We start from the raw sequence: 22,442 nt of genomic DNA, 5'->3' as shown, positions 1-22,442 counted from the left end.
AATGTGGCACATATACACCATGGAATACTATGCAGCCATAAAAAAATGATGAGTTCATGTCCTTTGTAGGGATATGGATGAAGCTGGAAACCATCATTCTCAGCAAACTTTCGCAAGGACAAAAAACCAAACACCGCATGTTCTCACTCATAGGTGGGAATTGAACAATGAGAACACATGGACACAGGAAGGGGAACATCACACACCGGGGACTGTTGTGGGGTGGGGGGAGGGGGGAGGGATAGCATTCGGAGATATACCTAACGCTAAATGACGAGTTAATGGGTGCAGCACACCATCATGGCACGTGTATACATATGTAACAAACCTGCACGTTGTGCACATGTACCCTAAAACTTAAAGTACAATAATAATAAAATTAAAAAAAAACCTGGTTGATGAAATAATCTTCACAACAAACCCCCATGAAACGAGTTTCCCTATACAACAAACCTGCACATGTATCCCGGAACCTAAAATTAAAATTAAAAGAAAGAGAAAAAGATTTGAAAAGAGAAGAAACATGACTAATGAAAAATTTTTTTGTAATTTTGACAAGAAAGACTAAACTAGAAGAAACACAAGAACAATTGATAATACCTTCAGAAAAAAAAGAAAAAAAATTAAATTTATAAAAATTGAAAAGAGAAAAACAGTTCAAGAAAAGGTAATACAAACGATAGACAAATAGCCACCATAAGTAATATCAAAATCCTAAAATAAGAAAATCAAAGCAATGCAACAGAACAAATATAATAGGTTATAATTTAATAAACCTTAGCTAAAAATAAGACTTGAAGTTATATACTGAAAGTGCACACTGCATACTTGGGAAAACCAACCTAGAATGGGAAATATTGGAATATAATAAATCTACATAAATCTAAAGAAAAAAATATTTTAGGTATCTAGGCAACAATTATAGAATACATGCTTTTCAAATGACTGTGAAACATTAATAAGATATGCCACAAGAAGGTATGGTGGGCCATACAATCAGAATCAGTGGAACTGATTACAACAGATTTAAATTAGAATGCAATAAGACACATTAAAATTCCCCAATATTTGGTAATTTAAAGACACACTTCTAAAAAACGGATTTCAAAAAGGAAATCACAAAGAAAATCAGTAAATATTTCAAAATGAATAATAAAACACAGTATATCAAAATTTGTAGGAGGAAGCTACAACACTACTTGGAGAAAAATTTATAGCTTTAATTGCCTATATTGGGAGGAAAATAAGATTCGAATTCAGTTACCTAACTTTCCCATTTAAAAAGCTAGAAAAAAATCCAAAGAAGTATGGAAAAGAGCAATGATAAATCAAGAAACAAGTAGACAAAAGAAAAATGTTTAGTCTTCAAAAAGATTTTTAATATTCATAAACCTAGCAAGACTACATTTCAAAAGTCATAAAACTACACAAACCTTACCTTGGCCAATTCTGTAATTTTACCAAAACCAGGCTTCCAAGAGGGAGCTGTGAATAGACAATCTTAAATCCACACTGATGAAGCTGAGACTCTTCAGGGAAGTCTTCTTCAGAAATTGAGCAGTTATTATATCTTGAATCAGTGTTCATGAAGCAGTACCATGGTTCATCATGATCAACCTTGGCTGAATCCTCACTTGATAACAATCTCCATTTCAAACAATTTTCATTCTCACATTGAACCCACACTTTGTTTACATACATGTTTTCCACTGAGGAATCCATTGCATAGTTACAATATTCAATCTTAACATCCAATTTTTCTTTATCCATTAAGGCATTTAATCTGGAAAATAAGAAAGAGGAAAATAACAGAATGAGGATTCAAGAGTATAAGGAGAGAAAATTCAAACCAAAAATCAGAGAAATTCCTCTTTGATATCTTCTATGCCCACCCCCTCTCTATCCTACAAAGACTACATATGTTGAACACGTTGTTTCCACCTACCCAGAAATAAAGGAACAAAATAGAAACAACAATCACTCTGAGCATAAAATGCACCAAAATTAAAAATAAGAAAAATATGATGGAGCCAAAGGGGAGTAGAGGTGACTATAATTTCTATTAACCTAATATATAGCACACATCTGGTATACATCAAGTACATTTTCCCATGATAACAGCTAAGCCTTACTGAATGCTGACTATGCACCAGGTATTATTCTAAGTGCTTTATACACATGGCTCATATAGTCTTCCCAACAACCTTATTATGCTCATTTTTACAGACAAAACTGAAGCTAAGAAATGTAAAGCAATTTGTCTCAGGTCCTGGAACTGGTACACAGTAGAGCTGGAATTTAAATGTCAGCAGTTTGATTCTAAGTTTGTGATCTTACCCATTAGTTTGTACTGCCTCTTGAGTATATATATTGCATGACTAAATGAACCTTTTCTTCTTCTGTCTCAGGAAATCAAATGCAGCAAAATATTTCAACATACAAAAATGCAAGATTTTTAAAAATTAAATAAATCTCATATAGTTTCAGCTTTTATTTATTATTAATTAAATTTCTCAGAGCTTTTTTGTTAGAAAAATTTTAAACATATAAAAAGTTTGAATTGTGTAACAAAGCCCCCAAATTCTGGCTTCAATAAAAAAGTATATAGTAATAAATAAATATAAATAAAATACAAGTAGAACTAATTATTGGCAACTTATTTTGCAATACAAAGTCTGTTTCTTAAAAATAAAAAGACTAATGTACCATACTATCCAAGTATAAGCACCATTTAAAGAATCCTTTAATTTATAAGTTAATCATATATTTAGAAGCTCACTTACTTACATTTGTCACATATCTTACCAGGGCCACTGCAAATTGCTTTAGAAATTTGTCCATATATTTCAATAGCCATAGTTCGAAAATTTTGACCTACTAATCCCACTCATGCAAATGTAATAAAATAAATTTTAAAAAGACCAACCAATACATAGCAAGACCAAAAACATTCAGTGTAACACTGTTTTTCATGTTGAAAGAGTGAAAAAGTCTAAAAACAGAATCAAATCTAGCAGAAGATATAAACTTTTACTAATGATATTTGTTTTAATGTGTTTAATTCTTTAATTGATGAGAAAATGCATAAAGGCAAAAACGCAATGTGGATTGCAACTGAAGTGAATAAATTTTTTCTCTACTTTCTGGGTCACCAGTCAGTAAAGCAGAAGTGACTGAGGTTAGACTTTGGAGCCAGGTTATGTGTTACTTACAGAGTCTCTGCCCTTTGCTAGACTTTCACTTCACATGAAGTGTGTGTGTGTAACAACTTTTTTTGCTTGTTTAGTTCCAATATTCATATGCTGTCTTACTATGGTGGCTAAGACAGATATAACATTGACTAGAAGCCATGATAGTAGATTTTTTTTTTTCTAATTTTAAAGAGAATGCTTCGAATGTTTGTTATGTTGGGAGTACGGTTTTTGTAGAGACCATTAAAAGGCTACAGAAAGTTGTTTTCCTTCTATTACCAGCTTACCAAAAGGATTTTTTTTGTTGATATTAATCATAATGTGGTGTTTAATTTCATCAAATTCTTTTCTGCATATACTGAGATAAATATATGGATTTCTTTTAAAATGTATTAATTGGGTACACATTGTATTCATGAATTTTTGAATAATAAACTATATTTGTATTCTGGATAATCCCTACCTGGTTATGCCTCATAAGTTTTTAATATACATTGCTGTATTTTGTTTATTAATAATTAATATTTTTACATGTGTGTATAAATAAGATTTGTCTATTATTTTATTTCTCCTTTTGTCTTTGTCTGGTTTTCATATCAAGATTATAAAATCACTTCATTAAATAAAGTAAAAAATGTTCCCCCATTTTGGGAAAGTTTGCCTAAGGGAGGAATTTTCTAATTTTAACATAAATTTTATGAATTTTAGTATATCTACTACATTTGTCTCTTTTGCTTTGAAGTTTGTTTATGCCCTCTCTTTTTTTCTTCATTTATCTTGTCAGAGTTTATTAAACAACCAGAATTTGAGTCCCTTCAGTTTTTTGAATTCTATTTAATGAATAGCTGCACTTTTCTTAATTCTTTCTTTCCTTTTACTTTCTTTGGACATTCTCTGTTGCTCTTATTTTTCTCTTCTTAAGTTGATGCTTAGTTAATTCATTTGCAGTCTTTTCTAATACAAGCATTCAAGGTTATACATTCCTATCTCAGTATTGCTTTATTATTTAGTTTTAAACACAAGGTTTCTATTCATCTTTTACCCGAGTTACTTAATTTAAAAAATTCAGAAGGTAGGGGTATTTAAGAGATTTTATTATTGATTTTTAATGTAATTGTATTTTGGTTAGAGAATATAATCTGTGTGATATTGATTTTTTTGGCATTTGTTTTGTTTTGTGGCCCTACTTAACAACACTTGTGAATGTTATATGTGTGCAAAAAATGATGCATATTTTTCAATTGTTGGGTGCAAGGTGTACATTTAATCATTATACCAAGCTTTGTATCAACAATTATAAATAAAATTTTATGATTGTGGGGTTAATTTTCTCTATCCATACTAAATGGTTGATATATTAATTACTTAAAGGGCTATGTTAAAATCTCCCATAGTAATTGTGGATTTGTCAATTTATCCCCATAATTTTGTCAGGTTTCTTTGCTTATTAAATATATACATGTTCAGATTTGTTACATCTTGTTGGTGAATTCTTCCTCATCTTATGTAATGATGCAATTTATCCCTAATAATGTTCTTTGCCAATCTACTAGTTTAATTAGTGGAACCAAACTACTTGGTCCACTATTAACATAGCAATTAAGATAGTAGTTATGTTTCTGATTGGCTTGGTCCTAGTTATAACTTTTACCATCCCTTTACTTTTACCCTTTCTAATATTATGGGTTTCCTTATCTCTGCCTCCTGTAAACAATATATAGTTGGGATTTGCATTTTTATCCAATCTAAGATATGATCTGCTAACCAGTGATTTTAGTTCATTTACTTTGACACTGATATACTTGCATTTTTGTGCACCTTTTATTTATTATGCTATTTCTTTACTTATTTTCTCCTTTCCTAACTTGTATTAAAACAAATTAATATTTTTCTTCTCTATACTGGTTTTGACAAGTTTATGTTATTTTTATTACAATAGTTACCCTTAATACTACTCTTAATACATGATTTAACAAGGTATAAATTAATCAATATCTCTACCTTCTTCAGAATAACAGAATGCTTTAATCCAGATGACCTTTGTGCCTTTATCTCATTTCTTGCCAGCATCATAGTTCTATTTTGCATTTATACCTCAAAATTTGTCATAATTATCACTAGTGTGTTTTCTACAATATTCATTTAGATTTTTCCATATGTTTTCCAGTTTCTTTGCTACCTAACAGTATTCACTGAATGAGGATAGTGAGAGAAAGGGAGAAAACAGTGGCCGGGCATGGTTCCTCATGCCTATAATCCCAGCACTTTGAGGGGCTGAAGCTGGTGAATCATTTGAGGTCAGGAGTTCAAGACCAGCCTGGTCAACATAGCGAAACCCAGCCTCTACTGAAAATACAAAAATTAGCCAGGTGTGGTGGCAGGCGCCTGTAATCCCAGCTACTTGCAAGGCTGAGGCAGGAGAATCGCTTGAACCAGAGAGGCAGAAGTTGCAGTGAGCCAAGATCGCACCATGCATTCCAGCCTGGGTGACAAAGTGAGACTCAAAAAAAAAAAAAAAAAAAAAAGAAAAAGAAAAAATTAAGCCATCTGGAGTATCGGGAATATTTTCTGTGTTTGTGAATGAATAAGATGGAAGACTCTACTTTTTATCTAAGTAGTTAACCAATGATCAAATAATATTTATTTAATTCTTCATCTTTTAGTAATTGGTCCGAAATGGCTCTTTACCCTAATTCACATATGTGCATATGAATCTATTTCTGGGCTCTGTATTCCTTTCTTTCAGATGTCTTTCCCTGTACCAAAAGAGATTCAGATAATTCTAAGTCTAAAGCAGGTATTGACAGTCTATGTGAACAACTGAGCTGAGGGAAAATAGTTGGGGTACAGATCTAGAAAGAATGAGATTATCAATAACGAGTTCATTCAAGGACATTCTATTTACTTTTGTTTAATAAGTAAGAAAAATAGGCTTTACTAATACTTAATATGAAATTGACACTGGAATCTTTACTAAGACCATATGTAAGCTGGTCATATGTGAGGTCTCCTGCTGAAAAGGTGGGAGATGCCATAACTTAAGAGGGCTTCACAAATGTGCCTTTCAGTTACTCATTTACAATTACTATTATGCAATGTATTGGAGTTACATTTAACTAACTAGTTTATAGAATATATTATCTAGATTAAACTATTCCTCACAAAATAAAGTTACTTTAGAAAATTTCTAAAAAGAAACAGAAAAACTAGACAATATTAATAATGCAAATAATGAAGTATGAGAGAGATGACAGAAAGAAGAAAGTAATTACTGTCACTCAATCATGTAGGATTTTGTCCAACTTGCAACCAATGGGTTGCTATAAAGGGGAAAGTTTGTGGCATCACATCAATGGAAAGCTTATGAAAATTCATTATGACAGTCTATTATAAAATGTTAAGGGGATTAAAAGATTACTTTTAAATGGTAGATAAGGTTTTCAAATTTTCTTAGGATGTTGGGTCTCATAGTGGATAACGCTGAGAAGATAAACTAACACTAAGAAAATGTCATTATTACTTAAATAGTGATACTCATTTTCAATTGCATCTAACTTAAACCTCTTGGTATTTTAGATTTGATACGTTTTATCCAGGCTACCAGAATTTAGAATATAGATCATAAAATGCTTATTCTTTTCAAACCAGATTCTCATTGATTCCATTACATTTTCTCCAACACTTTGCTGGTTTTCAAAACTCCTGCCACATAGAGAAGATGCAAATGACAATGAGGAAGTGAATGTGTTCACAAGAATGCTAGAGCCTTTGAAGGGATCCCTATATAATCATACCTAAGTAGACCAGAATTAGTTCATAAAGACAATGACAAATGCAAAGCTATGCTGAGTACAATATTTGCTTCATTCAACTTTTGTTTTTAATTTTTTATTTCATAACTTAGTTATATTGAACTAGAAAATGCAGAAAAACAAAATATTAAATTTTAAAAATAGAAAACACAGAATGGCTATTTAAAATTATAAAGTCTTGAGTTCAAGGAAATGTATATGAATGGTTATGGACACTCAATTTTCAGCCAGACAACTCTACCACTCTTTACTAGGCAAATTAGTTAACCACTCAAAATCTCTGATCCCTTACCTGGGGATAATAAGAGTACTACTTATTACCCTATATTGAACTCCTAGCATATTATTTTGCACACTATAGATACTCAATGTTTTTTGAATAAATGGATGACTTTAAACATCAATTCAAACAAGTATTGAGTTCCTATTAAAAGTCAGACACTGGGAACAAAAGATGAAAAAGAAACAATCCCTGTTCTTGACTCAGAACAACATAGATACCAAGTTCCATAAAATACTTGATAAATGTAATACAGTGTGATGTTAGATGTACAAATACCTAGGAGAACACAAATGAGAAAATAATTTTCTTAAAATAAGAGGGCTCCATGAAGGATGCAGGGAGCAGCTAGCATTTGAGCTGAACCTGAAAAGATAAGTAGTTCACTTTACCAAGGTGATGGAGCAAAGGAGCACATAGGAGGAAACTCGCCAGGTGCAATGGCTCATGCCTGTAATCTCAACATTCTGGAAGGCCAAAGTGAGTGGATCACTTGTGCCCAGGAGTTTGAGACCAGCCTGGGCAACATAGTGAGATGCAATCCCTACCAAAAATAATTAAATTAGCTGGGTGTTATAGGGCACACCTATATTCCCATTATTCAGAAGGCTGAGGCATGAGGATTGCTTCAGCTCAGGAGTTGGAAGCTGCAGTGAGCTATGATGATGCCACTGCAGTGTAGCCTGGGTGACAGACCGAGACCTTGTCTGTCAAAAAAAAAAAAAAAAAGAAAAAAAAGAAAAGGAAATTCCATGAAAACATGCATGCATGTAACGTACAAAAATATTGAGCTGAGCTGTTAGAACACTTTTTAAGGGAAGCAAAGGTCATAGCAGGCGAGGGTGGAAAAACCTCAGAAGAGTCTTATTTACCATGTTAGGTTAATCGACCTTATTATCCTGGAAGCAAAGAGGAGTCATTGTCTGTTTAAAACTAAGAGTATCACAAAAAATAAGATACTTCATAATTTCCAAGGCACATATTTTTACATTTAAACATCTCAGCAACCACACTGTATCTTCCAGTCAATATCCTCTCAAAGTCATGATGTAGTTGTCATTGCCTCTACATGAATAGACTTGATAATTTAAAGTATAAGCTCACCCAAAAGTGCACAGATATGGTTTTCTCATGCTATGACTGGACAACAGTCACTACAAAAGCATTTCAAGAACTCTGATGATTTCTGAATCGTCTGCAGGGTCATTCTCCCATTTTCTTGGATAATAGATATTGGCTTCTGTTGAGATTGCCAATTTCTTTATCAGATGGTCATTTAGCCACACCCTTCATGTTCTCTCCTGAACATGCTTTCTCATTCTTTACTATATGTGTAGGCTGAGAAGTTTCCAAATCCTTAAGTACTGCTTCTCTTTTGATAAACAACTCCATCTTTAAATCACTTTTCTCCTCTTATACTTTACTATTAGCAGTCAAGAAGAGCCAAGCCACAGCTTCAACACTTTGCTCAGGTATTTCCCTCAGTCAAATATTCAATTTAATCACTCACAGTTCTACTTCCACAAAACACTAGAACATGAACACAATTGAGCCAAGTTCTTTGCCACATTATAACAAGGATGGCCTTTCCTCCATTGCTTTATGATATGTTCCTATTTCCATCTGAGAATGGCCTCCCACCTAAATGGTCTTTACTGTCTATATTTCTACCAACATTCTCCTCAGGATTACTTAGGTATTTTTTAAGAAGATTGAGACATTCTCTATTGCACTCCTCTTTTCTTTCTGGGCCCTCACCAGAATCATTCTTAACAGTCTGTTGGCCGGGTGGGGTGACTCATGTCTATAATCCCAGCACTTTGGGAGGCTGAGGCAGGCAGATCACACGGTCAGGAGTTAGAGACCAGCCTGGCCAACACAGTGAAACGCCGTCTCTACTAAAAATACAAAAATTAGCCAGGCATGGTGGTGGGTGCCTGTAATCCTGGCTACTTGGGAGGCTGAGGCAGGAGAATCACTTGAAACTGGAAGGCAGAGGTTGCAGTGAGCCAAGATTGCACCACTGCACTCCAGCCTAGGCAACAAGAGTGAAACTCTGTCTCAAAAAAACAAACAAACAAACAAAAACCTCTGTTTACAGCAATGTACGCTTTTTCTGGCATGCCCCTCAAAACTCTGCAAGCCTCTACCCTAAATCCACTATCACATTCTTAGGAATTTATTACAGCAGCACCTCCACTTCTCAGTACCAATTTCCTGCCTTAGTATGTTCAGGTTGCAAAGGCCTACCACCTAATGCCACCTCCCAAAGGCTTTACCTCCTAATATCTTGGAGGTTAGGATTTCAAAATATCAATTTCAGGGGACACAGACATTCAGACCATAGCAATATTATGTGGAAAGATCAACATCAAAGACTGAATTGAAAAGAGACTTAGGAAAAGTACGTTTATATGAATAAGCTTTAGGAATTCCATAACCACATTTATTTCACTTATATTTTCTTTTTTTATGTGAGATGTGATAAGAATATATGTCTAAATGAGTTCAAAATAAATATTTTATTTCCATTGGTTATTGGGGAACAGGTGGTATTTGGTTACATGGGTAAGTTCTTAAGTGGTGATTTGTGAGATTTTGGTGTACCCACCATCCAAGCAGTATACAATGCACTCTATTTGTAGTCTTTTGTCCCTCACCCTCCTTCCATTATTTCCTCCTAAGTCCCCAAAGTCCATTGTGTCATTCTTATCCCTTTGCATCCTCATAGATTAGCTCCCACTTGTAAGTGAGGAATATGACGTTTGGTTTTCCATTCCTGAGTTACATCACTTAGAATAATAGTCTCCAATCTCATCCAGGTCACTGTGAATGCCATTAATTCATTCTTTTTAATGGCTAAGTAGTATTTCATTATATATATATCACTGTTTCTTGTTTCTTTATCCACTCATTGATTGATGGGCATTTGAGTTGGTTCCATGTTTTTGTGATTGTAAATTGTGCTGTTATAAACATGAATGTGCAGGTACATTTTTCATATAATAACTTTTTTCTCTCTGGGTAGAGAGCCAGTAGTGAAAATGCTAGATCAAATGGCAGTTCTACTTCTAGTTCTTTACGGAATCTCCACACTGTTTTCCACAGTGGTTGTACTAGTTTACATTCCCACCAGCAGTGTAGAAGTGTTCCCTGTTCACCGCATCCATGCCAACATCTGTTTTTTGATTTTTTGATTATGGCCATTCTTGCAGAGTAAGGTGGTATCGCATTGTGGTTTTGATTTGCATTTTCCTGATTATTCATGATGTTGAGCATTTTTTCGTATGTTTGTTGGTCATTTGTATATCTCTTTTGAGAATTGTGTATTCATGTCCTTAGGCCACTTTTTGATGTTTTTTTTTTCTTGTTAATTTATTTGAGTTCATTGTAGATTCTGGATATTAGTCCTTTGTCAGATGTATAGGTTGTGAAGAATTTTTTTCCACTCTCTGGGTTTTTTATTCTGCTGACTGTTCCTTTGCCATACAAAAGCTCTTTAATTAAGTCCCAGCTATTTGTCTTTGTTTTTATTGCATTTTCTTTTGGGTTCTTGGTCATGAAGTCCATGCCTAAGTCAATGTCTAGAAGGGGTTTTCCAATATTATCTTCTAGAATTTTTATAGTTTCAGGTTTTAGATTTAAGTCCTTAATCCATCTTGAGTTGATTTTTGTGTAAGGTGAGAGATGAGGATCCAGTTTCATCCTCCTGCATGTGGCTAGCCAATTATCCCAGCACCATTTGTTGAAAAGAGTGTCCTTTCCTCACTTTATGTTTTTTTTGCTTTGTCAAAGATCAGTTGGCTGTAAGTATTTGGGTTTATTTCTGAGTTCTCTATTCTGTTCCATTGGTCTGTGTGGCTATTTTTATACCAGTACCATGCTGTTTTGGTGACTATGGCCTTATAGTATAGTTTGAAATCAGTTAATGTGATGCCTCCAGATTTGTTCTTTTTGCTTAGTCTTGCTTTGGCTATGTGGGCTCTTTTTTGGTTCCACATAAATTTTAGAATTTTTTTTCTAATTCCGTGAAGAATGATGATGGTATTTTGATGGGAATTGCATTGAATTTGTAGATTGCTCTTGGCAGTGTGGTCATTTTCACAATATTGATTCTACCCATCCATGAGCGTGGGATGTTTTTTCATTTTTTTGTGTTGTCTATGATTTCTAACAGCAGTGTTATGTAGTTTTCCTTGCAGAGGTCTTTCACCTCCTTGGTTAGGTGTATTCCTAAGTAATTTCTTTTTTCAGCTATTGTGAAAGGGGTTGAGTTCTTGATTTGATTCTCAGCTTGGTTGCTGTTGGTGTATAGAAGAGCTGCTGACTTGTGTACATTAATTCTGTATCCTGAAACTTAGCTGAGTTATTTTATCAGTTCTAGGAACTTTCTGGAGAAGTCTTTAGGGTTCTCTAGGTAAACACTCACATCATCATCAAACAGCAGCAGTTTGACTTTCTCTTTACTGATTTGGATGCCCTTTATTTCTTTCTCTTGTCTGACTGTTCTGACTAGGACTTCCAGTACTATGTGGAAGAGAAGTGGTGAGAGTGGGCATCCTTGTCTTGTTCCTGTTCTCAGAGGGAATGCTTTCAACTTTTTCCCATTCAGTATTATGTTGACTGTGAGTTTGTCATAGATGGCTTTTATTACACTGAACTTTGCTCCTTGTATGCTGATTTTGCTGAGAGTTTTAATCATAAAGGATACTGGATTTTGTCAAATGCTTCTGCTGTGTCTATTGAGATAATCATGTGATTTTTCTTTTTAATTCTGTTTATGTGGTATATCACATTTATTGACTTGCATATGTTAAACTATTCCTACATCTCTGATATGCCACTTGATCATGGCAGATTATTTTTTAATATGTTGTTGGATTTGATTAGCTAGTATTTTGTTAAAGATTTCAGCAACTATGTTCATCACGAATATCGGTCTGTAGTTTTCTTTTTTGCTTATGTCTTTTTCTCGTTTTGGTATTAGGGTGATACTGGCTTCATAGAATGATTTAGGAAAGGTTCCCTCTTTCTTTATCTTGTGAAATAGTGTCAGTAGGATTGGTACCAATTCTTTGAATGTCTGGCAGAATTTTGCTGTGAATCTGCCTCATCCTGGACTTAATTACCATTTCCATGTTGCTGCTTGCTATTGGTCTATTCGGGGTATCTAATTCTTCCTGATTTAAGCTAACAGGGGTGTATCTTTCCAGGAATTTTTCCATCTCTTCTAGGTTTTCTAGTTTATGTGTGTAAAGGTGTTCATAGTAGCCTTGAATGATATTTTGTATTTCTGTGGTGTCATTTAAAATATCTCCCATGTCATTTCATATTGAGCTTATTTGGATTTTTCTCTCTTCTTTTCTTGGTTAATCTTGCTAATAGTCTAAAAGTTTTATTTATCTTTTCAAAGAACTAGCTTTTTGATTCATCTATCTTTTGTATTTTTTTGTTTGTTTGTTTCAATTTCATTTAGTTCTGCTCTGATCTTGGTTGTTTCCTTTCTTCTGCTTGGTTTGGGTTTTTTTCTTATTTCTCTCATTCCTTGAGGTATGACCTTAGATTGTCTGTTAGTGCTCTTTCAGACTTTTTGAGGTAGGCATTTAGGGCTAAGAAGTTTCCTCTTAGCACTGCCTTTGCTGTATCCCAGAGGTTTTGATAGGTTGTATCACTATGGTCGTTTATGTGGAAGAATTTTTAAATTTCCATCTTGATTTCATTTTTGAACCAATGATCATTCAGGAGCAGGTTATTTAATTTCCATGTATTTGCATAATTTTGAAGGTTCCTTTTGGAGTCAGTTTTCTTATACTGTGGTCTGAAAGAGTGCCTGATATAATTTTAACTTTCTTATTGAGGGTTGTTTTGTGGCCTATAATATGGTCTATCTTGGAGAAAGTTCCATGTGCTGCTGAAAAGAATGTATATTCTGCAGTTGTCGGATGAAATGTTCTGTATAAATCTGTTAAGTCCATTTGTTCCAGGGTATACTTTAAAACCATTGTTTCTTTGTTGACTTTCTGTCTTGATGACCTGTCTAGTGCTATCAGTGGAGTACTGAAGTCCCCCACTATTACTGTGTTGCTGTCTATCTCATTTCTTAGGTCTATTAGTAATTGTTTTATAAATTTGGGAGCTCCAGTGTTAGGTGCATATTGAGTCTTCATGTGTTAGGTGAGTCTCTTGAAGTCAGCAGATAGTTGGCTGGTGAATTCTTATCGATTCTGCAATTCTTTATCTCTTAAGTGGAGCATTTAGGCCATTTACATTCAATGTTAGTATTCAGATGTGGGGTTCCATTCCATTCATCTTTCTATCTGTTACCTGTATACCTTGCTTTTTTTGTTTCTTTTTGTCTTTTTTGTTTGTTTTTTTTTTGAGATGGAGTCTTGCTCGTCGCCCAGGCTGGAGTGCAGGGGTGCAATCTCAGCTCACTGCAAGCTCCGCCTCCCGGGTTCACGCCATTCTCCTGCCTCAGCCTCCCGAGTAGCTGGGACTACAGGCGCCTGCCACCACGCCCGGCTAATTTTTTGTATTTTTAGTAGAGATGGGGTTTCACCATGTTAGCCAGGATGGTCTTGATCTCCTGACCTCGTGATCCACCTGCCTCGGCCTCCCAACGTGCTGGGATTACAGGCGTGAGCCACCATGCCCAGCCGTCTTTGTTTTTTTAAGCTGTATTTTTATTTTATAGAGCCTGTGAAATTTATGCTTTAAAGAGGTTTTGTTTTGATGTGTTTCCAGGATTTCTTTCAAGATTTAGAGCGTTTTTTAGCAGTTCCTGTAGTGGTAGCTTGGTAGTGGCGAATTATCTTAGCATTTGTTTGTATGAAAAAGACTGTATCTTTCCTTCATATATGAAGCTTAGTTTTGCTGGAAGCAAAATTCTTGGCTGATAATTCTTTCATTTGAGGAGGCTGAAGATAGGGCCCCAGTCCCTTCTAGCTTGTAGGGTTTCTGCTGAGAAATCTCCTGTCAATCTGATAGGTTTTCCTTTATAGGTTACCTGGTGATTTTGTCTCACAGCTCTTAAGATTCTTTCCTTCATCTTAACTTTAGATAACTTGATGACTATGTGCCTAGGCGATGATCTTTTTGTGATGAATTTTGCAGGTATTCTTTGTGCTTCTTGTATTTGAATGTCTAGGTCTCTAGCAAGGCTGAAGAAGCTTTCCTTGATTATTCTCCCAAATATGTTTTCCAAACTTTTAAATTTCTCTTCTTCCTTAGGAACACCAATTATTCTTAGGTTTGGTCATTTAACATAATCCCAGACTTCTTTGGGCTTTGTTCATATTTTCTTTTTTGTTGTTGTTGTTTTTTGTCTTTGTTGGATTGGTTTAATCCAAAGACCTTGTCTTCAAGCTTTGAATTTCTTTCTTCTACTTGTTCCATTCTATTGCTGAGACTTTCCAGAGCATTTTGCATTTCTATAAGTGTGTCCACTGTTTCCTGAAGTTTTGATTGTTTTTTTGTTTATGCTATCTATTTCCCTGAATGTTTGTCCCTTCACTTCTTGTATCATTTTTTTTTATTTCCTTACATTGAGCTTTACCTTTCTCTGGTGACTCCCTGATTAGCTTAATAACTAACCTCCTGTATTCTTTTTCAGGTAAATCAGAGATTTCTTCTTGGTTTGGATCCATTGCTCATGAGCTAGTGTGATTTTTTGGGGGTGTTAAAGAACCTTGTTTTGTCATATTACCAGAGTTGATTTTCTGGTTTCTTCTCATTTGGGTAGGCTCTGTCAGACAGAAGGTCTAGGGTTAATTGCTGTTGCTCAGATTCTTTTGTCCTATGGGGTATTACCTTGATGTAGTACTCTCCCCTTTTTCCTATGGACATGGCTTCCTAAGAGCTGAGCTGTAGTAATTATCTGTCTTCTGGATCTAGCCACCCAGCAAGTCTACCAGGCTCCAGGCTGATACTGGGGGTTGTCTGCACAGAATCCTGTGATGTGAACCATCTCTGGGTTTCTCAGCCATGAATACCAGCACCTGTTTTGGTGGATGGCAGGGGGATGAAATGGACTCTGGGAGGTTCCTTAGCTTCAGTGGTTTAATGCACTACTTTTGTGCTGGTTGGCCTCCTGCAGGGAGGTAACACTTCCCAGAGAGCATCAGCTGTGGCAGTATGTAAAGGAACAGGTGGTGGGTGGGGCCCTAGAACTCCCAAGAGTATATGCCATTTGTCTTCCGTTACCAGGGTGGGTAGGAAAGAACCACTGGGTGGGGGTAAGGCTAGGCATGTCTGAGCTCAGACTCTCCTTGGGTGGGTCTTGCTGCAGCTGCTGTGGAGGATGGGGGTAAGGTTCCCAGGTCAAAGCAGTTATGTTCCTAGCGGGATTACGGCTGTCTACACTGTCATGCAGGTTGTCAGTGAAGTGGAGGAAAACCAGAGTCACAGGCCTCACCCAGCTGCCAAACAATCTGAAGGGCCAGTGTCACCCCCACCATGCCCCCAGCAACATCACCAAGTCTGTTTCCAGGCAGTGGGCAAATGGGGCTGAGAACTTGCCCCAGGCTACCTGCCTCCTAGCTGCAAAAGCAAATATGGCTTTCCTTGTTCCCCGCCTGTAGAGTCTGCACACTGGATTCATGCCCTCCTCTGAGTTCTGGCAAGGAGGCCTCTCGATCAGTTCAAATGGTTACAGAGTTCAGCTGGATATTTCCTTCTCCCTGTGGCCTTTTCTCAGTGCTTCTGGCCACCCTCCTGAAGGACTCCTGTGAGGCCAGGCAGATATGGCTTTCTAGGGGACCCAGCGAGCTCACAGGTCTTTTCCTGCTGCTTCCGCTACCCCTGTATTTCACTCGGCTCTATAAATGGACTCAGCTCCAGGTAAGGACGGCATCTCCTCCCGTAATCTAGATCTTCAGTTTCCTCCATGGGGGTGTGTATTTGGGGGCAGACAATTTCCCTTTCCCACTTCCACAGTTTGGACACCCACAGTATTTGGGGTGTCTTCCAGGTCTTGCAGGAGCAATCTGGTTCCTTCAGAGGGTCTGTGGATCCTCTCAGGTTTCTTGATTTATTCCTGCAGTCGTTCTGGATCAAAAATTCATGATGTGAGCCTCCGCACACTGTTCTATCCATCCGAGTTGAAGCTGCAATCTAGTCCTGCCTCCCGTCCACCATCCAAAATAACTTTTTAAATAACTATAAAGTAAAAATTCTAGGAATTAAGAAAGTGTTGTGTCCCACCCCCAAGATGATTATATTTGAGGATGGGGACTTTGGGAGGTAATTAGGTCATTAGAGGACAGCCCTCATTATGGGATTAATGTCCTTACAATAAGAAATAGCACAGAGTTTGCTCTTTTTACCTCGACTCTTCACCATGTGAGGATACAGTGAGAAGATAGCCATCTGAAAACCAGGAAGCAGTCCCCCATCAGATATAGGACCTGCTGTCACCTTGATCTTGGACTTTTTAGCCTCCAGAACTGTGAGAAATACATGTTTGTTGTTGAAGCCACCCAGTCTACGGTAATTTGTTATAGCAGCCAGACTGACAATGTCTTACATTTAATTTGTGTTTTGGAAGAGATGCAGAGAAAACAGAAACAGAATAATTACCTACTAAGAAAGCTACTAAACTGTGCATACAAAACATAATGAGAACTTCATTAGAACAACAGAAATGATGCAGAAATAAGCATTACTAGTTCACCTGAATTTATTAAAGAGAACACCAAGGCCTGTAGAGTCCTAATAAATAGTTCTAAGCAACTTAATAACAGTACGATTATTATAGGTATGTATAGCTTTAAGTGACATTCATAAGCTAAATAAAAAGTAAGAAAAGTCTGTGTTGATTTTACATAAATTCTACAAAGATTTCTGTATTACATACATGTTATTTTTATTTAATTATATATTTATTTTTGAGATAAAGTCTCATTCTGTCACCCAGGCTGGAGTGCAGTGATGCTATCTTGGCTCACCGAAACCTCTGCCTCTTGGCTTCAAGTGATTCTCCTGCCTCAGCCTCCCAAGTAGCTGAGACTACAGGTGCTTGCCACCAAGCCCAGTTAAGTTTTGGATTTTTAGTAGAGACAGGGTCTCGCCATGTTGGCTAGGCTGGTCTCAAACTCCTGACCTCAAATGATCCACCTGCCTTGGCCTCCCAAAGAGCTGGGATTAGAGGCATGAGCCACCGCGCCCAGCCCATACATGTTATTTTTAAATGTTATAGCAGAATTTGAAAAAATTAAAAAATAAGATCAATTCTTCCTGAATTAAAATATTACATAGTTTTTGCGTTCATTAAAACAAAGGTATTTAAGATGGAGTATAGCCAATATAAATTCTTATGAAGCATCCATTTTTATTACAATGTATATCTATTTTGTGACTGATGTACCCAAAAAGGTAAAATCACAACACATGCAAGGAGTTTTGAATAATACCAGATTTTTTTTTTTTTTGAGACAGAGTATGGTTTTGTCACCCAGGCCAGAGTGCAGTGATGTGATCTTGTCTCACTGCAACCTCTGCTTCTCAGGTTCAAATGATTCTCATGCCTCAGCCTCCCAAGAAGCTGGGATTACAGGCATGTGCCACCACGCCCAGCTAATTTTTGTATTTTTAATAGAGACGGAGTTTTGCCATGTTGGCCAGGCTGGTCTCAAACTCCTGGCTTCAAGCAATCCATCCACCTCAGCCTCCAAAAGTGCTGGGATTACAGGTGTGAGCCACTGCACCCAGCCCAATACTAGAATTTAATGAAACAGTATGAATAAATACATATGGAATAGTAATGAAGATAAACGGCTACTTATGATAGAAATTGGTTTTATTGTTTGCATGTGAATGAGAAAAATGATTGTTCTTCCAAAGTTGTCATACTTTCGCTCTACAATACTTTGGTTATAGGAAGATATATATCCATTTTTAGCTGCAGGCTATCACAGATTATGCAACTCTCCTGGGTTTGAGAAAAACAACAGTATCTGTATCACCACTGTCTTCAGAGTTGGAGAATTTTGATATTATAATTTTAATTTTCATCGTTTTCACTTTCTAGATAATATCTCACTTGTAAACAATGCTTATAAGACTGCAATACTGAACATATAATGTGTTTTCAGTCAAACCTTCATTTTAAAAATGAAATGTTCACATAATGCCATTTTTAAAGTATTAACAGGATTAAAAGAATATTACTTATTTGTGTCCTGCCTACCTCCAGAAAGAACTTGAAGTGATTAATAAAATAATTCTAACGATATGGATTAAATTTTTGTAATATTTTAGAGACAGCAGAAAAATATCAAGAATTGAAGTTGAATAACCAGTATGAAGTATAATTTTTCATACTGGTTATTCAACTTTCTAGCTGTATAATCTCTAGAGGACCTCTGTGTTCTTATCTGTAATTAGAGAATAGGGCTAGATGATCTCTGAAATTTGTTGTGTTCTAATGTTTCATGATTTATCCATTCTGGCTTTTCCAATTTTCCTCAAAAACTCTCTACTGACCCTGCTGCATTATCAGCTCCTTTGCCCTTTCTACCAGCTTCATTGATGTATAATTGACAAAAACTGTATATACCAAGGTATATAACATGATGTTTTGACATAGATACATTGCAAAATACTTACCACAATCAAGTTAATAAACCAATCACCTTTCATAGTTATCTATTATTTTTTCTGAAAAGAAAAATTAAGACCTAATATTTTAGCGAATTTTAAGTATATATTATTAAATATAGTCACTATGCTGTACATTAGGTCTCTATAACTTAAGGATTTTATAAGTGCAAGTTTGTACTCTTTGATCAACATCTCCCTATTTTTCACTCCAAGCCCTCCGGTAACCACCCTTCTACTTTGTTTCCATCAGTACAACTTTATCAAATTCTAAATATAATTGGATCGTACAGTATTTGCCTTTTGGTGTCTGGCTTATTTCACTTAGCATAATGTACCCCAGGCTTACTCAGCTGTCATAATGACAAGATTTTCTCCTTTTTAAGGCTAAATAATATTCCATTGTATGTAAAAGCCACATTTTCTTTATCCATTTGTCTGTTGATGGACATTAGTTTGTTTCCACTTCTTGGCTAATGTGAATGCCACCGCAGTTAACATGGGATTGGAAATACCTCTTCCAGGTCCTGTTTTCAGTTCTTTTGGATAAATACCTTTGAAGTAAGATTGCTGGAATACATGGTAGTTTTATTTTTAACTTTTTGGGGAAACTCCATACTGTTTTCCACAACAGTTGTACCATTTTACATTCCCATTTACATTACAGTGCAAAAGGATGCCAATCCACATCCTCACCAACACATTCTGCTTTTTTTGATAATAGCCACCCTTGCAGGTATGAAGAGTTATCTCATTGTGGTTTTGATTTGCATTTCCCTGATGATTATTGATGTTGAACATCTTTTCAACATCAATGTATGTGGGACATTCATATGTCTTCTTTGGTGAAATGCCTACTTAAGTCGTTGGCTCATTTTCTAACCAAATTATCTGATATTTTGCTACAGAATTGTATGAATTCCTTACAAATTTTGGATATTAACCCCTTATCAGATGTATGGCTTACAAATACTTTCTCCCACTCCATAGGCTGCCTTTTCACTCAGTTGATTGTTTCCTTTGCTGAGCAGATACACTTTAATTGGATGTAGTCCCACTTTATTTTTGCTTCTATTGCCTGTGCACTTGGTGTCACATCCAAGAAATTATTGCCAAGACAAATGTTATAAAGATTTCCCCTATATTTTCTCTCAGGAGTTATATAGTTTCAGGTCTTATGTCTCATTTTTTAATATATTTTGAGTTGATTTTTGTGTATGATGTAAGATAATGGTCCAATTTAATTCTTTTGCATGTGAATATCCAGTTTTCTTAAGACAATTTGTTGAAGACACTATTCTTGTCCCCATTGTGTATTCTTGCTGCCTTTGTGAAAGATCCATTGGTTGTATATGCATGGGTTTATTTCTGGTCTCTTCCTCTTGCTTATATGTCTATTTTTATGATGCCACCATACTGTTTTGCTTACTATAGCTTTGTAATATAATTTCAAATCAGCAAGTGTGATGCTTTGTTCTTCTTGATCAAGATTGCTTCTGTTATAAATTTAGAGTCTTTCATGGTTCCAAAGGAGTTTTAGGATTTTACTGTCTATTTCTGTGAAAAATGCTACTGGAATTTTGATAGAAATTGCATTGAATCTGTAGATTGTTTTGGATCATAAGTATATTTTGACAATATTAGTTCCTCCAATCCACAAATATGAAATATCTTCCCATTTGTTTATTTTTCAATTTATTTCATCAATGTTTTATAGTTTTCAGTGTACAGATCTCTCATCTCCATGGTTAAGTTTATTCCTAGGATCTTACTCTTTTTGATGCTATTGTAAATGGGATTTTCTTCTGAATAACTTTTTTGATAGCTCTTGTTAGTGTACAAAAACATAACTAATTTTTATATTTATTTTATAACCTGTATCTTTTGTAAATTTATTAGTTCTAACAGTTTTATGATGGAGTCTTTAGGGTTTTCTATACATAATGTCATGTCCTCTGGAAACAGAGATAATTTTACATCTTCCTTTTTTTATTTGGATATCTTTTACTCCTTTTAGTTGCCTAATTGCTCTGGCTAAAACTTCTAGTATGTTGCACAGAAGTGGTGAGAGTGAGAGTGGGTATGCTTGTCTTGTTAGAGAAAAACGTTAGACCTTTCCCCACTGAGTATGATGTTAGCCATACAACTGTGATACACAGCCTTTGTGATGTTGAAGTGCATTCCTTCTATATCTATTTTGTTAAGAGTTTTTATCATAAACTGATGTTAAATTTTGTCAAATGCTTTTTTCATCTATTGAGATGATCATATAATGTTTGTTCCTCATTCTGTCAATGTGGCATATAACATTTATTCATTTGCATATGTTGAACCATCTTTGCATCCCAAAGATAAATTTCATTTGATCATAGTGTATGATCCTTTTAATGTGCTGTTTAATTTGGTTTCATGGCATTTTGTTGAGGATTTTTGCGTCTACGTTCATCAGGGATATTGACCTGTAATTTTCTTTTCTTGTAGTGTCCTTGTCTGATTGTGGTATAAGGGTGACACTAATGTTGTAATATGAGTTTAGAAGTGTGTTTCCTCCTTTTCAATTTATTGGAAGAATTTAAGAAGGATTGATATTAATTCATCTTTAAATATTTGGTAGTATTCAGCAGCGAAGTTATCATCTCTTTGATGAGAAATTTTGATTACTGATTCAAACTCCTTACTTATTATTAGCCTATTTCAGATTTTATATTTCTTCATGATTCCATCTTGGTAGGTTACATAATTCTAGGAATTTATCCACTTCTTCCAGCTTATCCAATTTGTTGTCATATAATTGTTCATAGTAGTTTCTTATGATCCTTTGTATTTCTATGGTATCTGTTGTAATGTCTCCTTTTTCATTTCTTATTTTATTTCAGTCTTCTCTCTCCTTTTTCTTAGTTGAGCTACAGGTTTGTCAATTTTGTTTATCCTTTCAAAAAACCAGTTTTAGTTTCTTTGATCTTCTCTCCTTTGATCTTTTCTAGTATATTTCTAATCTCTATTTTTTTTTCTGCACTAATCTTTATTTCCCACCTTATGCTAACTTTGGGCTGTTTGTTTTCTCCTCGTTCCTTGAGGTGTAAACTTTATTTAAACTCTTTCATTTTTCTTCATGTATGTATTTATTGCTATAAATTTTTCTCTCCTAGTATTGTTTTTGTATCAGCCCATCAGTTTTGGTATGATATCTTTTTCTTTATCTCAAAATATTTTTTTTTCATTTCACTTTTGATTTCTTCAGTGAGCCATTGGTTGTGCAGGGACATGTTGTTTAATTACCACATTTTGTGAATTTATAATATTCTTCCTGTTATTGGTTCCTGATCTTATACCATTGTGGTCAGAAATTATATGATTTCAATCTTCCTAAATTTGTTAAGACTCGTTTTATGGCCTCACATATTATCTCTACTCTAGAGAATGTTCTGTGCATGTGTGAGAAGGATATGTGTTTTGTGCTACTGTTGGATAGAATGTTCTACATTTCTGTTAGGTCCATTAGGTCCAAAGTGTAGTATAAGTTCAGTGTTTCCTTATTGGATTTCTGTCTGAATGATCTCTCCC

At 35.3% G+C, this 22,442-nt stretch overlaps 1 protein-coding gene across 4 annotated transcripts in view; it reads right to left on the bottom strand.

The window, feature by feature from the left end:
• ZCWPW2 (zinc finger CW-type and PWWP domain containing 2) overlaps nt 1-22,442 on the bottom strand; it is a 177,638-nt gene that overhangs the window by 111,520 nt on the left and 43,676 nt on the right. For all 4 annotated transcript variants that reach the window (NR_136708.2, NM_001040432.4, NM_001324169.2 and 1 more), the window contains one exon: nt 1,439-1,783. Coding sequence is in view for 3 of the 4 variants with exons in the window: in NM_001040432.4 (NP_001035522.1) it covers nt 1,439-1,770 (332 nt within the window). In the remaining variant the exon portion in view is untranslated. The remainder of the gene's footprint in view (nt 1-1,438; nt 1,784-22,442) is intronic.

The sequence above is a fragment of the Homo sapiens genome, chromosome 3, assembly GCF_000001405.40.
Source record: "Homo sapiens chromosome 3, GRCh38.p14 Primary Assembly".
In the NCBI taxonomy this organism is placed as follows: domain Eukaryota; kingdom Metazoa; phylum Chordata; class Mammalia; order Primates; family Hominidae; genus Homo; species Homo sapiens.
This window is presented reverse-complemented; position numbering and strand designations above follow the sequence as displayed.